Source organism: Homo sapiens, chromosome 11, assembly GCF_000001405.40.
Source record: "Homo sapiens chromosome 11, GRCh38.p14 Primary Assembly".
Classification (NCBI taxonomy): Eukaryota; Metazoa; Chordata; class Mammalia; order Primates; family Hominidae; genus Homo; species Homo sapiens.
Genome location: NC_000011.10, coordinates 129891818 through 129909454, shown reverse-complemented (window position 1 = coordinate 129909454; position 17637 = coordinate 129891818). Strand labels below are relative to the sequence as shown.

At 43.1% G+C, this 17637-nt stretch overlaps 2 protein-coding genes across 19 annotated transcripts in view, besides 1 other annotated feature; both read left to right on the top strand.

Moving 5' to 3' along the window:
• Nucleotides 1-9744, top strand: part of PRDM10 (PR/SET domain 10) — a 103125-nt gene extending 93381 nt beyond the window's left edge. For all 17 annotated transcript variants that reach the window (NM_001367891.1, NM_001367892.1, NM_001367894.1 and 14 more), the window contains 2 exons: nucleotides 3714-3817; nucleotides 6939-9744. In NM_001367891.1, the coding sequence (NP_001354820.1) occupies nucleotides 3714-3817; nucleotides 6939-7142 (308 nt within the window). In that variant the 3' untranslated portion in view covers nucleotides 7143-9744. The remainder of the gene's footprint in view (nucleotides 1-3713; nucleotides 3818-6938) is intronic.
• Nucleotides 13721-14160: a silencer, noted in NCBI's record as "silent region_4067". NCBI's record gives its function as "represses an Ori minimal core promoter by ATAC-STARR-seq in GM12878 lymphoblastoid cells {active_cell/tissue: GM12878}" and the evidence as "EXISTENCE:reporter gene assay evidence [ECO:0000049][PMID:35858748]".
• The window catches only part of NFRKB (nuclear factor related to kappaB binding protein), a 31943-nt gene continuing 28182 nt past the window's right edge, over nucleotides 13877-17637 (top strand). The window contains exons 1-3 of one of the 2 annotated variants that reach the window (NM_001143835.2): nucleotides 13877-13959; nucleotides 15017-15096; nucleotides 16585-16740. In NM_001143835.2, coding sequence (NP_001137307.1) covers nucleotides 16606-16740 — 135 coding nt within the window. In that variant the 5' untranslated portion in view covers nucleotides 13877-13959; nucleotides 15017-15096; nucleotides 16585-16605. Of the gene's footprint in view, nucleotides 13960-15016; nucleotides 15097-16445; nucleotides 16741-17637 lie in introns of those variants that run through there. The other variant, NM_006165.4, reaches the window with a different exon arrangement.

Sequence of the window (17637 nt, the reverse complement as noted above, 5' to 3'; positions counted from 1 at the left end):
TTTTTGAGATGGGGTCTCGCTCTGTCACCCAGGCTGGAGTGCAGTGGCACAATCGCGGCTCACTGCAACCTCCGCCTCCCGGGTTCAAGTGATTCTCCTGCCTCAGCCTCTTGAGTAGCTGGGATTACAGGCACCCGCCACCACGCCCAGCTAATTTTTGTATTTTTAGTAGAGACGGGGTTTCACCATGTTTGCCAGGCTGATCTCGAACTCCGGACCTCAGGTGATCCGCCCACTTCAGCCTCTCAAAGTGCTGGAATTACAGGCATGAGCCACTGTGCCCGGCCACAAACTATACTCTTAAACATTGGACGTCACATTGAGGGCTGGGTCTAGTTTCCAGTCAGGGACTCTCTTACCACTAGAATCTGGTGAATAGACTGACCTCTGTACTCAGTGTAATTCCTGTGAAAGAGAGTGGAGCGGGCCAGGCGTGGTGGCTCATGCCTGCAATCCTAGCACTTTGGGAGGCCGAGGTGGGCGGATCACTTGAGGTCAGGAGTTTGAGACCAGCCTGGCCAACATGGTGAAACCCCATCTCTATTAAAAACACAAAAAAAATTAGCCACGTCTGGTGGCGGATGCCTGTAATCTCAGCTACTCAGGAGGCTGAGGCAGAAAGATCATGCCACTGCACTCCAGCCTGGGTGACAGAGTGAGACTCCATCTCAAAAAAGAAAAAAAAAGTGGAGTGATGAAGATATTCATGATAATAATAGGATGAACTAGCATTCTAACCTGTAGAAAAGATTCTGGGACTGAAATTTATTAGGGAAAAATGTAAAAATATATAAAAGTAGAGAGAGGAGTGTAACGAACCATCCTGTACCCATTGTCCAGCCTCAGCAGTTACCAACTTACACCCAACCTTGTCTCATATATGCTCCCATCATGATCTCCCATCCTCCAGCTGGATAATGATCCATCATATCACCTCATCCATAAATATTTTGGTACCTACCTCTAAAAGAAAAAGAACATTTGAGACAGGGTTTTGCTCTGTCGTCCAGGGTGGAGAATGCAGTAGCATGATCGTGGCTCCTGCAGCTTTGACCTGGACTCAAGTGATCCACCCACTTTGACCTCCCCAAGTGCTGGGTTTACAGATGTGAGCCACCACGTGTAGTCTAATTTTTGAACTTTTTTTTAGAGCTAAGATCTCACTATGTTGGCTAAGTTGATCTCAAACTCCTGGGCTCAAGTGATCCTCCTGCCTTGGGCTCCCAAAGTGCTGGTATTACAGGCATAAGCCACCATGGTCAGCTGAAAAAAACTATTTTTTAAAAACACAACTCCATGCAACATTATCACACCTAAGAAGAAATGACAGTAATTTTTTCTGTATTTATTTTTTAAGAGAGAGGGTCTTGTCTGTCACCCAGTCTGGAGTACAGTGGTGTGATCATAGCTCACTGCAGCCTCGAACTCCTGGGCTCAAGCCATCCTCCTGCCCCAGCCTCCCAGTAGCTAGGACTACAGGCACATACCACCATGTTTGGCTAATTCTTTTTTCCTTTGAATTTTTTAGTAGAGATGAGATCTCGCTGTGTTGCCCAGGCTGGTTTTGAAACTTCTGGGCTCAAGTGATCTTCCCATCTTGGCCTCCCAAAGTGCTAGGATGACAGGCGTGAGCCCCTGTGCCAAGCCAACAGTAATTCTTTAATACCCACAAATATATTTAAAATACCCAGTCAGGGTTTTTATATTTCTATGATTGTCTCAGAAATTTTTTAAAAAATAGTTGGTTTGCTTGGCCAGGCACAGTGGCTCACGTCTGTAATCCCAGCACTTTGGGAGGCCAAGGCAGGTGGATCATGAGGTCAGGAGTTCGAGACCAGCCTGGCCAACATAATGAAACCCCGCCTGTACTGAAAATACAAAAATTAGCTGGGCATGGTAGTGCGCACCTACAGTCCCAGTTACTCAGGAGGCCAAGGCAGGAGAATCGCTTGAATCCAGGAGGCGAAGGTTGTGGTGAGCCGAGATCGCGGCACTGCACTCCTGCCTGGGCATCAGAGCGAGACTCCATCTCAAACAAAAAAGTTGGTTTGCTCATATTGGGTTCCAAATAAGGGCCATACATTGCAATTGATGATGACTTTTGAGTTTCTTTTAATATGTGTTCACTCTTTTAAGTTATAATTTCTGTGTTGAGGAAACCGGGTCATTTGTGCTGTTTTCCGCATTCTGGATTTTGCTGGTGGGATTCCCATGTTACCAAGCAGTGAATATGTGCTCTTCTGTTCCTTTCATTTCCTATAGACTGGCAATTTGAGCTACAGGCTTGCTCAGGTGCAGTTTGTTTTTTTCCTCCTGATACTTCATAGCTGGTGTGTGTACTTCTATCAAGAGCACATAATGTTCAGGCATCTCTCTTCTTGTGATGTTAGGAGCCATCGATGTTTATTCTTTAGCTCCATTATTTCATTAGGGCTGCAAAGTCGTGATATTCTTTTTTTTTTTTTCTTTTTCTTTTTGAAATGGAGTCTCGCTTTGTCACTCAGGCCTAGAGTGCAGTGGTGCGATCTTGGCTCACTGCAACTCTGCCTCCCAGGTTCAAGTGATTCTCCTGCCTCAGACTCCTGAGTAGCTGGGACTACAGGCACCCGCCACCATGCCTGGCTAATTTTTGTATTTTTAGCAGGGATGGGGTTTCACCATGTTGGCCAGGCTGATCTCAAACTCCTGACCTCAAGTGATCCGCCTGCCTTGGCCTCCCAAAGTGCTGGGATTACAGGAATGAGTCCATGTGCCTGGCCATGATTCTAGCACCTTATTCATTAATTAGCTAGAAAACTTTTATAAAGAAAAAAATTTTACCTTCACTACCAAGTTACTCTCAGTTACAGTTTGTACAAGAAAGGCAGGATAAACACTTTAAATACCTGATTCATTTCCTTTGTTTACCAGTTTTCACAAAATGAATTGATTTCTTATGCTATCCAAGGTGATAGGGTTGTGTGTGCACGTCTTATGGTGGTTATGGACCCCTGGATTTCAACGCCTGGTGTGTTTCAGCCGATTGCAGGTGTGATCCTTACCCATGCTCGAGTGATCCCCTCTCTGGTTTGTAGGAGCCTCTTCTAACTGGCTCCTGCGTTATTCTCACATGCCTCGATAGCCTTTCGTCACGTCTTGTGTGCTGGGAAGACACGATGCCCCACAACTGTCTCACAAGCTTTCTGCCCAGGTCTGGAATCAGCCATTTTCCCAAGAAACTCTCATTCCTTTTAGTAGAAAATGTTATTTAGAGACCATCAACAAGATGCTAGGGTGGGCTTTATTTTTAATTTGCTCTAATAACACTGGTGGTGAAATAAAATTCAAGTTGGATTAAATTATAATTGCCAAGTGTGGATACATTTGTGTCACAAATTCAAATCTGAATATAAAAGATAAAAATATTGATTTAAAAGGTAACTCTTTGTGACGTATTTCAAGGTTTTAAAAATTGTTGAGTATTTGTCTTTGTGGATATTGAGAAGCCACATTTGAAGGGGAATGCACTGATTGTCTCTGACACTGGGTATCTGCGTACCAGGCTCTTCTCAATTCGTAGCAGAGATGCTTTCACGGCACCAAGAAATCACATCATTGTGAGACTCTCATGGCAAGCAAATCAGTGCGGACTGTGGCTACTGGTTATGTTTTTGTTTCTAAGACTTGTGTTAAAATCTGAGACCACTGAACTATGAATATTTCCTGTTTTTTAGCATCTGAGATTCAAATGATGACGCTTCCTCCGGGTCAGTTTGTGATTACAGACAGTGGTGTGGCAACTCCAGTTACTACTGGCCAGGTGAAGGCGGTTACTTCGGTAAGCTACGCTACTCGGTCGGGTTTTTCCTGTCCAACCTGTGGTGCTGTATAGTAACTCTTATCACCACTTATCTCGTAATGATTGGCTTACTCTGTTTTCTCACAGTAGATGATGAATTCTTTGAAAGCTAGGTCTTGGGCATTATCACTTTATCCTCAGTGCCCTGTCCAGGAGGCTAGGATATAGCAAATGCTCAATAAATATCTGTTCAATTAATAACTGTAATGGTCCTATCTCCATCCCTATGAGCCTTTTTTTTTTTTTTTTTTTTCTGAGACAGAGTCTTGCTGTGTCGCCAGGCTGGAGTGCAGTGGTGCAATCTCAGCTCACCTGCAACCTCCGTCTCCTGGGTTCAAGTGATTCTCCTGCCTCAGCCTCCCAAGTAGCTGGGATTACAGACACGCACCACCACACCCAACTGATTTTTGTATTTTTAGTAGAGATGGGGTTTCACCATGCTGGCCAGTATGATCTTGATCTCCTGACCTCATGATCCGCCCACCTTAACCTCCCAAAGTGCTGGGATTATAGGCGTGAGCCACCACTTCTGGCCCTTATGAGCGTTTTTATATGCTTCTTGGAAAGATTGAGTCCTCAAGACAATTGGCCCTCAACTGGGTTGGGAGAGAATAATATAATGAATCAATTATGGAGCTGTATTAAACATTTCATCCACCCGAAAGTGAAAAACATTGCCATAAATTATCTAAGTTGGGCAGGTACAATGTTGATTGTATCTCCTTCTTCTGTTTTTATCTTCACTGGTTTGTTCTGGCCTGCCTCTTAAGTTATTAGAAGACAGAGTACATACATGTGAATTTAGAAAAATACTCTTGGCTGGGCTCAGTGGCTCACGCCTATAATCCCAACACTTTGGGGGGCCAAGGCAGGCAGATCACTTGAGGTCAGGAGTTCAAGACCAACTTGGCCAACGTGGCAAAACCCTGCCTCTACTAAAAATACAAAAATTAGCTGGGTGTGGTGGTGCATCCCTATAATCCCAGCTACTCAGGAGGCTGAAGCATGAGAATTGCTTGAACCTGGGAGGCGGAGGTTGCAGTGAGCCGAGATCATGCCACTGCACTCCAGCCTGGGCAACAAAGTGAGACTCTGTCTCAGAAAAGAAAAAAAAAGAAAAATACTCCTGGGTGAATAAGTTCTGGAGATCTTGTGTACAGCATGCTGGCTGTGTTCATAATGTATTGTGTACTTGAAAACTGTTAACATAGTATAGATAATGTTTTTGCCACAAAATAAAATGGTAAGTGCATGAGTTGATGGATATGTTAATCAGGTTGATTTGTTTAATTATATCTTAATAAAGCTAGAAGGAAAAAAAAGGAAAAATGCTCTTCAATGGCTAGGAATATTGAGATATTACCAAGGGAAGATTTTCTTAAGAGGTTTCAGAGGGTAGCTAACTAGTCTTGTGGCCTCAAAAACCTGATTTTTTTTCTCCTTTTTTTTTTTTTTTTTTTTAGTATACTGAGAGCTCACCTGTTTCTCAGCACACGAGGTCACATTAACTAGACTTAGGAGAGATTTGTAAATCCAGAGTAACACTATTAATTGTCAGTGAAAACAGTAACGAATGTAAAATGAGATAATCATATTGGCATGATCAGGACATTTTTTGTTCCCTGTAGGACCCATTGACTTTGACCTTTTTCTGGCCTGGAACTCATTTGAGAATGGTTTTAGCCAAAGTTATTTCTCTCCCCCTGCCACAGTGTATGTGCACACTAATTTAATGTCCATTTTTGGGGGTTCATGCATTTTTTGCAGCTGACCTATGGACCCCCTAGGAGTCAATGGACCCTAGGTTGAGAAACAGCCCCCTCCCCACGTGGAAAAACCAATCATAATCAGAACGTTGTCTGGTGGGGGTGAACTCAGAACATCTGGCCCTAGTGGAATCAAATGGGTATTTGGCGATGGCTCTTTTCTGGGCAGTGCAGACAGGCTACTGCCTGACAGTCTCTCTGCGACGTCTCTCTTCCTCTGTGCTGTAGCTGACCAACCCTCCTTCTGACCGACAGACACATTTCTTTAAAAATGTTAATGTAACAAAATAGCCAGCTACAGGCTGAACGTCACGAAGACGTTTTCATGATGAGGGGAAAAATAAGAAAACAAAGACCATGTGTAAGTTTTCATAAAGCTAAATGTATTCAGTGTAAGGGATTTCATTCTGAGATCCTGTTGTTCCTGTACTCTTGAGTGTTAAAATGTCTATTTGATGGTCGCGTTTTTTTAAATGACCTTACTTGACAAAATAAAATTTGGGAACCATTTATTATTATTATTATTATTATTATTATTATTATTATTATTTTGAGACGGAGTTTCGCTCTTGTTGCCCAGGCTTGAGTGCAATGGCACGATCTCAACTCACTGCAACCTCTGCCTCCCAGGTTCAAGAGATTCTCCTGTCTCAGCCTCCCAAGTAGCTGGGATTACAGGCATGTACCACCACGCCCGGCTAATTTTTTTTGTATGTTTAGTAGAGACGGAGTTTCTTCATGTTGGTCAGGCTGGTCTCGAACTCCTGACCTCAGGTGATCCGCCCACCTTGGCCTCCCAAAGTGCTGGGATTACAGGTGTGAGCCACCATGCCTGGCCTCCATTTATTATTTTTTTAAATTTTGCTGGTCTTTTGAAATTCTGAAGTCTGAGAACCATTGACTTGACTACCTGTCTTCAGGGTCATTCTGCCTCTTCAAGGAGACTTTAAATATCTCTTCTTGGATCCATTCTGTATTAATCTTAAGATCGAATGGACAGTTAACTATCTTTTCTGAATTTGTAAATCATTAGGAGCATTGCAACGGCATGTTTTCTTTGCCACGTATGTTACCACCATGATGCAAATTACTGTACCTGAAGTTGTTCGCTCTATCATTTGGTGAAACTGCTAAGGTGCTCCTTTAAGGAGCTTATCTTTGTCGTCAATTATTGTGACTGATCCACCCTCTCTAAAGGACCTAGGCAAAGCATCTCTCATAGATGCCTATTTTGGGTCCCTTGTGACATTTCTTCACATCTCCCTCCTTCCCCAGTAGCTTCACCCTCCCTTTAAGGCCCCAAGTTTTTAAGGATCCTTTTCTTCTTCCTCTAGGGTCATTATGTGTTATCAGAAAGTCAATCAGAATTGGAAGAAAAGCAAACTTCTGCCCTCTCTGGTGGAGTCCAGGTCGAGCCACCTGCACACAGTGACTCCCTGGACCCCCAGACCAACAGCCAACAGCAGACCACACAGTACATCATCACCACCACCACCAACGGGAACGGAAGCAGCGAAGTGCATATCACCAAACCATGACTTCCACCCTGGAGCTTGAATCCAGCACCCACCTCATGTCTGTTCTCATAAGTCTGAAAGCTCTGACACGTAGAGCTCTTTTGTAAGATTTATTATTCACTCAAGAGTTCGGAAACCACAGTTTTGTCTCTCATCCATACACTGGGGTTTATTTTGCCAAGGTCATCTTTATCAAATTGACTCTTCAAACCCTCGGTTTTTGCCACAGAACAGAGATCTTTCAGGGGAAAGTAGATTTCGAGGTGGAGAGAATTTGCCTTGCTCTTGAGCTGGTCTTTTAACATACTGACGAGCCTTACTTTTCCTTTGTGGAAATATTAAGTGGCATATTGTGTTCATACCAAAGGTGGAGACAGGATGTGCCAAGTTCATGGTTACTGGACTTCTTATTCCAAGCCATGGCACCAAAGGAGAAGGGGCATTTTGTGGGTGTGCATTAGGTCTGAACTGCTTTATCTTGTTTTAGTTTTCAGTAATTTAACAAAGGGAGCCTGCTGAATAACAAAATTAAAATGATGAAACAAAAGTTTGACAGTGATATTCTGAAGCAAAAACTGTCATCTAAATTTTTCTTGCTGATTTTTTTTAACTTCCCTATTTTAGAAAACTATTGTTGGGCTGTTGGTAGTGCTTTCCACAGATGCTGGTCCTCAGTGGATTAGGTCAGAAGCTCATGTTCTGATAGTTCTTCATTATTTCACAAAGGTGGACAACCTGAAAGAGAAAAGGCTGCTTGATGTCAGCAGAATCTAAACCCCTACATTAAAGCTTTGCCTCCCATTCTGTGGTTGTGGTGGTGGTAAGAAGGAGATATTGGTACCAAGAAAAATTTCCAAAACTATTGAGAGAGAGAGAGAGAAAGTATTGAAATTTTGTTCTGCCTTGCAGGATCCATTTATCATTCATTGGTAAAGGATATATTCCTTGTTCTTACCAAGTGTACATTTAACTCTTGCTGACATGTTCAGTGTATTTTATTACTTTTAATGCTGTCTTAAAATGAACATTCTTTAAAGTTGGACAGGAAGGTGGCATTTCTTATTTATTAACATTTTTAACTTTAAACATATTGTGACTCATCTAGACCTTTTAATAAGACGGTCAACTTCACACTTAGGGAAAAAATTAAAATGTGATGGCCACTTCTAATAATTCAGGTAGTTATAAGGGATCTGGAAGAAATCCAGTCTTTATGAATATACTATTAGTTGGGCATTAAAAAATCAGTATATATTTTAACTTTTTGTGACATGCTAACACATTTTCAGAATAATTATTGCATAGTAGAATTTATTACTCCAGAACAGAAAGACCTTACTTCATTTCAAATGAAGTTAATTAATTTACATTTCTGGGTAAAAACTGGTTCTATAAATTAAGTAGAGTAGCTTCTTTATGATAAAGACAATTTTCTGAAAAGTGAACAATTCTGTTAAAAGAACTTTATTGATGTGTAGATTTCGCACTTTATTTCTGAGACTGCGTTCATGTAGTTGTTCCCCAATGTTTGAGTACTAAGAGAACTTGAGAAAATTACTTCATAAACATATGGAAACTGAAAATGGACTCTCTTTGTGACAAAGATATTCAACAGAAAATATTGACCCTGCATTGCAAAACACAGGTTCGGGTTCCCTAAGTCCCACAGTGTAATGATTACAAATATCCTAGTGTCCGGTCTAGAAAGACTTTCTAGGAGAAGACTAGTGGAATTTTCTAAAGGTTCAGTTTTAGCTTTTATAACTTAAATTTGGCCCTGTTACGTTCTTTTTAATTTGAACCATAAGGTATCTCCCCTCCCTTCAGGAATAACTTATTGGAAAACTGAAAAGAATCACTGAATGGAATGTTCATTTTATGGCAGTTGTTTTAAGTTTTAAAATACACAGAGGAAAATATTGTGGAAGGACCTCTTTGTTGCTTTCCCTTCTAAGTTGTCTTCTTCTTCTTCTTCTTCTTCTTCTTCTTTGGTCCTTAAGTGAAATAAAGACTCTAAAACTAATTTGTATATTATCAGCCAGAGATGCGGATGGCAGTCGAGCCAAATCGCATGGCTTTCAGATCAGGTATTCTGCACATTCATTCCAAGGTCATAGATTTTTAAAAGGACCTGGATTTGAAGAGATGGCAAATGATGAGCCATCAGAAAACTTAATTTGGAAAACATGTATGTAGCCAGTGTGGATATTGTGGCCTCTCTCAAGACACATTGACACTGTAGACTTCATTCAGTCCAGTGTGAGTATTTTGGAGTAGGTTGGATGTAGATTTTGTTTTTATCATTGATTTGTACCGACAGAAATAGACATTTCATCATGTAAAATTCCTGTTATTCTGGAAAAACCTATTGTTTTGATCTTCTTGTTTTCTGACTTGGAAGTATCCTTTCAAAAAAACTCTTAAGATATCTAGGTCTAAAAAGCACTTCATGAGATGCTAAAGCTGACCCACTGGTTGAAAATGTTGACCCTATCCTGTTATTTAAATGTGAACATTTATTGTACATTCAGTGAGTTATAGTGTTAATAGTCTTGTGCTATGCAGCAGGTGTAAAAATTAATAAATATATTTTTTAATAAACATGTTTGTATGTGTGAAGCTACAAGAGCTATTTTTTTTTCTTTGAAGAATTGCAACTTTTGGTTTCCAGCGTGGCATACAGGAAGCTTGGAAGTTGTCCCTCCATCCTAGCAATAAGTAAGAAGCTGAGCAAATGGAAAGATCAACATCTCTCCTTAGATCCATCAGAAAGTTGAGCCCACAGGACAAACTGCTGTCCCCAAAATTGGAAAGACAAACAGGCAAATACAGAGAATCATAGCTTATTGAACAGAAACCCGTGAGAAAAAAATCCACGATCAATAACCTCTATGAGAACCAGCGCCAGGGTAGGAAAACTTGAACTATATTTGATGAATTGCTGCAGGCTCAGCGTGGAGAAATCTGAGAGGTTAAAAACTCCAGGGAACTCAGTCACTGGAGGGGGGGTCAAGGGAGACCCACACTTTTGTGAGTTTTATCCCCAGGAGCTTGACTAGGTTCTCACAGTGAAATTTGGAGAAAAATTCCCTCATGCTTCCAGCAGAGGAAGGGGAGAAGGAACCATTTTGAAATACTCCAGAGCTTTCTGATCTTTCTATTATAACAAGCACCGAACCTGCTGAAGTTATAGCAGAACCTCAGTCACCTGGAGGAAAGGAAATAGCCAGCCCCAGCCCATTCCAGCCATTGTCCCTCATCTAAGAGGGGATAACTGCGTAGCATTCGTGAAGTTCACAGTCCAGAGGCACAGGCTCACCAGAAGACTGAGGCCTCCTTTAGGAATACAGAATGCTTCCCCAACCCCAACACCTTACCACCACATTGCTAAAGGCCTACTTACAGAAGCTCTCTCTACCTGGCACATCATGACCAGCTATCAAGAAAAACATTACAAGGCATACTAAGAGGCAAAAGACACAAGTTTGAAGAAAGAGAGCAAACATCAGACCCAGAATTAGATATGGCCGAGATGTTGGAATTCACAGACTGGGAATTTGAAACAACTGTGATTAATATGAAAAGGGCTCTACTAGAGAAAGTAGACAACAAGCAATAACAAACAATGTAAGGAGAGAGATGGAAATCCTAAGAATGAGCTAAAATGCTAGAGATAAAAAATGAAGAGTAGGCTGGGCACGGCAGCTCATGCCTGTAAACCCAGCACTTTGGGAGGCTGAAGTGGGTGGATCATTTGAGGTCAGGAGTTCAAGACCAGCCTGGCCAACACGGTGTAACCCTGCTTCTACTAAAAATACAAAAATTAGCCAGGCGTGGTGGTGGGTGCCTGTAATCCCAGCTACTCAGGAGGCTGAAGTGGGAGAATCGCTTGAACCTGGGTGGTGGAGGTTGCAGAGAGCTGAGATTGCGCCTCTGCACTCCAGCCTGGGTCACAGTGCAAGACTCCACCTCAAAAAAAAAAAAAAAAAAAAAAAAAACATGAAGAGTAGCTGTGAGAGGCTAAATGGTAGACTAGACACATCTTAGGAAAGAATTGCTGAGCTTAAGGATATCTCAATAGAAACCTCTATAACTGAAAGACAAACAATATCCAAAAACTGTGAGATGATGAAAAAAAGGTATAACTATGCCTCATGGGAATACTAGCAGAAGACAGAGAAAGGAACAGAAGAAATATTTGAAGCAATAATGATTGATTATTTCCCCAAATCAATATGGAAGATGAAACCACAGATCCGGGAAGCTCAGAGGACACACAGGATAAATGCAAAAAAATCCTTCAAAACCAAAAAACAAATGAACAAAAAATGACTTTTCTTCAGAAACTGTGCACACAAGGAGCGAGTGGAATGAAATGTTTAAGGTGTTGAGAGAAAAAAGCAGTGTCTAACCTAGAATGCTGTAGCCCATGAAATTATCCCCCAAAAGCAAAGGGGATTTGTTGCCAGTAGACCTGCCTTGGAGAGAATGTTAAGTTTTTCAGAGAGAAGAAAAATGATAAAAGTCAGAACCTCAGATCTATATAAAGAAAGAACATCATTATTACCTTTAATAATGAAGGTAAAGGAAAAGTCTTACTTATTCTTTGTTGTTTTATTTTTCTTTTTACTTTTTTGAGACAGGGTTTCACTCTGTTGCCCAGGCTGGAGTGCAGTGGTGCAATCACAGCTCACGGCAGCTTCGATCTCCCTGGCTCAAGCGATTCTCCCACCTCAGTCTCCTGAGTAGCTGGGACTACAGGCACGTGCCACCACACCTGGCTAATTTTTTGTATTTATTTTAGTAGAGATGGGGTTTCACCATATTGCCCAGGCTGGTCTCCAATTCCTGGGCTCAAGTGATCCACCCATCTCAGCCTCTCAAAGGGGAAGATCCTGGGCATTGGGACTGAGGTGTTTTTGATACGTTCATGCAAAGATGCCTGGAGTGGGTGGTTGGATTTCTGGGTTGTTTGATTCATAATTGCTTGATTCATAATTGCCAAAACCTGGAAACAATGAAGATATCTTTCAGTAAGCGAATAGATAAAACTGTGATATATCGACACAATGGAATATTATTCAGCACTAAAAAGAAATAGGAGCTATCAAGCCATGAAAAGACATGGAGGAAACTTCAATGCCTGTTACTACGGGAAGGAAGCCAATCTGAAACGGCTACATACTATGTAATTCCAACTAGATGACACTCTGGAAAAAGGCAAAACTATGGAGACAAAAAGATCAGCGGTTGCCAGGGGTAGAGGAGAGGGAGAGATGAATATGCAGAGCACAGATGATTTTTAAGACAGTGAAATTACTCTGCATTATACTGTGATGGTGGGTAATGATGTATCAATGTAGGTTCATCAGTTCTTTTGTTTGAGATGGAGTCTCGCTCTGTCTCGCTCTGTCGACAGGCTGGAGTGCAATGGCTCAATCTCGGCTCACTGCAACCTCCGCCTCCCCGGTTCAAGCAATTCTCCTGCCTCAGCTCCCGAGTAGCTGGGACTACAGGTGCCCGCCACCACGACCGGCGAATTTTTGTATTTTTAGTAGAGACGCGGTTTCACCATGTTGGCCAGGATGGTCTCGATCTCCTGATCTCGGGATCCGCCCGCCTCGGCCTCCCAAAGTGTTGGGATTACAGGCGTGAGCCACCAGGCCGGGCCGGGTTCATCAGTTCTAAGAAATGTACCACTCTGGTAGAGGATGTTGATAAAGGGAAGGCGATGCATGTGGGGAGGTGGGGCGGGGAGTATTTGGAAAATATCTTTCTGCTCAATTTTGTTAACTTTAAACCACTTTAAAAAAACAAAGTCTATCAAAAATTATAGTTTACATTGTTTTTACTCTTTTTCTCTTTCTGGTCTTGTCACAATCTCAAGGTAAGGGAAATATCGGTGACAACTATAGAGTGATATTCCACTGCCATTTATACTCGATAGTTTCTAATTCAAGAGCCTCTCAACAGTGTAACAGGAACTTAGAGCATATGTGGAGCCAGTAGAGGAACAGAGATCGGGTTGTTTGGAAACTACTCTCTTCCAGGAAGGGAAGAACATTAGCTCGGCCGGCCGGCTTCTCTGGTCCCATCCACACACAGAACTGAGGATGGTCTCTGCGCCACTGCTGGGAGTACCTGGAATAAGTAGTGTGAAGCCGTACTAAGCAAAACCCAGTGAATAACAGGAAAGGGGCCTTCATATCTAAGAAGAGGAAAATGATGGAGTTTAACTTTAAAATGTGATCCTTCGATGTGTTTACATTCTTTCTGGACATCGAGGGCCCGGGGACGGGAAGGAGGAATGAAGGAACTCGGAAGCACAGGCTGAGGTCGCGTTCTACTCATGTCCTCAACTGTAAAATGGGCACTAATAGTGCATAGCTCACAGGGCTGCAGCACAAAGACGGTGGGTAGAAAGTGCTTAGCATAGGGCCTGGGGCAGGGTATGCTCTCTGCAAACGTCAGCTAATAGACGTGCCTTCGCTCACGGGCTATGGAACTTTGATTCGCGGTCAGGCAAAGACAGGCACTGTCTGGGGCCTCTGGAAGCTCCTAAATCAGGTGAGACGCGCAAGCAGGCTGGAACCTGCATCCCCAGGCCCAGCCGCGCGCAGGCACCCTCGCCGACCCTCCGCTCTCCCGAGCCGCTCCAGGACCCGCCCGCTGTGGCCCCGCCCCGGCACCCTCCAGGCCCCGCCCCGCGCTGCCCCGCCCCTTCCGCCGCGCAGGCCCAGAGCGTGCGCGCACCCAGACTCCTTGCGGGAGCGAGTGCGTCTGGGAGCCCGCGGCCGGAGAAGGGCTGCGGGTTAGGGGGCCGGCGCCCGCGGTTCAGGTGAGGGCGGGCAAGGGGCGGCGAAAGGGTTGAAGTGTCTCCTGGGAGTGGAGGGAGCGGGAGCGGGCGGCTGGGTCCGCGAGGTCGCTGCCCGTGTGGGCGTGGGGAGCGGGAGCGGGGCGTGGGGAGCGGTGCGACGCGTGAGGCTGGGGGTTAGGGTTAGGCACGGCGTGGGGGAGGGGCGGGGCCGAGCCGTGCAGTTCTGAGGATTGGACCCGGGCCTTGGGCCAGCCGGGCTGGCACCGGAGGGGAATTTGCTGCAGAGTTGAGGGCTTTGGAGCCGGCGGTTGCTCTGGAAGGACCCGAGGGTTTAGCTTCTGCGTTGGGGAGGGTCCAGCGGGGAAAGTTAGACCAGGTGCTGAAAGCCAGTGATGAGAGGCCGAGAGGCCTTCGTGGTCTAGTGAAGAGGTTCAGAACGCCCGAAGATCTGGAAATCCTTGGCTTCCGGGGTCCAACTCCCTGGCAGCTGCCTGGTTTTGGTATTTTGAGATTCTGTTCAGAATAGTGGCAGTGCAAAGGTTGTCAGTGGACTAGATTAACTTTAGCTAGACACGCACCGTCACTGAAGAAACTTGTGAGCAAGTTGTATAGAGACCTCCTAAGAGGCAGGTAGGACACTGACTTTGCAGTTGATAGTCTGTTCTATGCCAGTTCTGTTAAGAAGGTTTTATTCTGAGCATCAGGTTGCTTCTGCAATTTTTTTTTGGTGCTATTTTGAAGTTTTGTTAAACTCACATGCTATGTGCTGTCTCACCCGCTTCACTTATTTAGGCATAGGCATGATGAGGATGTCATTTCACCATGTGCTGAAGGGTGATGAGGGGGCACAGTTGCTTGGGGACCACCCACGTGACTTGACTCAACGCTTAAGTTTCTGCTATATCTTTACATGGATCTGAAATCTCTTCAAGGGAGCTTGAAATAATTTAGTGGAACATGCTTCATTTTACATATAGTTATTCTAGAACTGTTCTTTATCATTGGAGAATTTTGGAAAAGAAAAGTACCTGTATTACGTAATTCACACTGTCACTCATCTAGAGATTATTCATTGCAGGATTCCAGAATTGGAAATAACGGGAGGGAGGACCTGGTCCAGCTTCCCTTCCTCAAATAAGGAAATTGACACCTGGCGTGGTAAGATTTGTGGAATGTGGTGTTTGTGGAATGTGGAATATGGAATTCTGGTGTTTTGACTGTTAACATCCTTTTTTCTTTTCATTTTAGTATGCTTTTTAGCCCACTTTGTAGGAATAGGAGCTGGAAAGGATGGATTTAGTAAATGTTGGTAGAGTGATTGAGTTTAAGCTCCCTGTGGTCCTGTTAGCATTGTGCAGTCCTGTGCTATCAACTTGACCCCTAATCCCAGCCATCAGTCTGAAAATGTTGTGGTATGTAGTTTTCTGAAGGTGATCAGCAGTGTTCTGTTATTACACGAAGGAGAAAAGTAGCATTAATTTACATGATTATACGGATCAAATGGACCAACTAAAGGCAGATTGGCCATTGACTTTACTGGTGGTTATGGTCAGGTGTGTGGAACCTCAGGAATTTATATGGACTAATAAAGTCATATCAGTAAGGTTCGTTTTTATTATTTAAATGTTGCGAGGTTATACAAGAGGTATTGTGTGTAGCATTAAGCACATGGGTTTGCAGGCAGGTAGACCTGAGTTTCAGTACTGCCTCTGGGGTTGGGCAAGTTACTGACCTACTCTGATTTTCAGTTTTAATTCCGATGTAATAACCCATGACCTTACTTTGCACAGTTGTAGGAATTAAATGAGATATGTGAAAGGCCTGGCTTTTAATAGGCCCTCATAAAGTGACTGTTAGCATTTGCATTTTACTAGTGTATGTTGATTTTCAGCAAATTTTCTTTTGTGAAAGAACAACAAACAATATTCTTTCTCTTTTTCCTTTCCTTTTTTTTTTTTTTTGAGACAGGGTCTCTGTTGCCCAGGCTGGAGTGCAGTAGCGTGATCACGGCTTATTGTACCCTCTGCATCTCGTGTTCAAGCGATCCTCCCACCTCAGCCTTCTGAGTAGCTGGGACTACAGGCGTGCGCCACCACGCCTGGCTGATTTTTTTTTTTTTTTTTTTTTGTAGAGAAGGGGTTTTGCCATGTTCGCTAGGCTGGTCTCAAACTCATGGATTCAAGGGGACTGCCCGCCTGGACCTCCCAAAGTACTGAGATTGTAGGTGTGAGTTACTGCACCCAGCCAACAACAAAGAATTAATTGCTAAAAAACAGTTGTTACAGAAATTACATTGTGGGAGAGTGATTATTGGTCTGGGAAGTGTAAATTATAGATTGTGATCTGTTTATCATTTATTCTCAGTCTCATTTTACTCATCTGTAAAATGAAGGCATATGAAATTTATGAATTTAGGAGTTACTGTAGGAGCATTCTGAGAAAAGAGCTCTTCCAGGTAAGACTTGAAAATTCCAGTGGGAATGCTGTGGTGAAAGGGAGGGAGGAGAGCTGTTTAGCTGTAATTAGGGTGCAAGGATAAGGTGTAAGAACTGGCTGGAGGTTGAATGTTTTCCTGGAGGAGTGTTAGCATCAACTAGATCCCTGGAATTTCTGCCTTTCTGTCTCAAGATGCATGTCTTTGTCCAGAGTACCTGTGGAGAAGAAACAATGGATTCCTTAGACCATATGCTGACAGATCCTCTGGAACTTGGTCCGTGTGGAGATGGCCATGGCACGCGCATCATGGAGGATTGCCTCCTGGGAGGCACCAGAGTTAGTCTGCCCGAGGACCTTCTGGAGGATGTGAGTAGTAACACGGTTGTGACCTTTTCCTCTCTGTCAGCTTCCTTGTAACAGCTGTGGGAAACCTTTTCCACTCTACATTTCCAGTCTTTTGTGCTCCCTTTTGTTCATTTTCTACATTGCAGGCAGCCTGATCTCTTATCTTTTTTTTAAGTTTAGAGTCTATTTAATATCCGATTAAGGAAGAAAACAAGCTACGTTCCGCATGTTTAATAACATGCCAGAATAACTTGATAACATGATTTAAGCCCTATTTTTAACAAGATAATTTTCATCCATTAAAAATGGTTGTGTATTTTAACCATGGAATACTACTCAGCCATAAAAAGGAATGAAATAATGGCATTTGCAGCAAACTGGATGGAATTGGAGGTCATTATTCTAAGTGAAGGAACTTGGGAATGGAAAACCAAACATCATTCTCACTTATAAGTGGCAGCCAAGCTTTGAGGACACAAAGGCATAAGAATGATAATGGACTCTGGGGACTTGGGGGGAAGGATGGGAGTCGGGTGAGGGGTAAAAGAATACACATTGGGTGCAGTGTACACTGCTTGGGTGATAGGCGCACCAAAATCTCAGAAATAACCACTAAAGAACTCACCCATGTAACCAGACACCACCTGTTCCCCCAATACTATTGAAATAATAATTAAAAATAGAAAAAAAAAAGGAAGAAATTATGGAAAACAAATATGAAGAAACACATCAGTGGGTATCTTTTCTACTAAAACCAGAAGATTGTTATGAGTACTTAATCTTCACTGTGAAATATTTGGCAGTTAATCTCTCCCTGACCCAGTGTCTTACTGTGTTAGTAAATCTGTTAGTTAATAGTTGCAGTATTTCTTTTAAATGTTTTTGGTTTAAACTTAAAGGTAGGCTCCTTTATTTGTT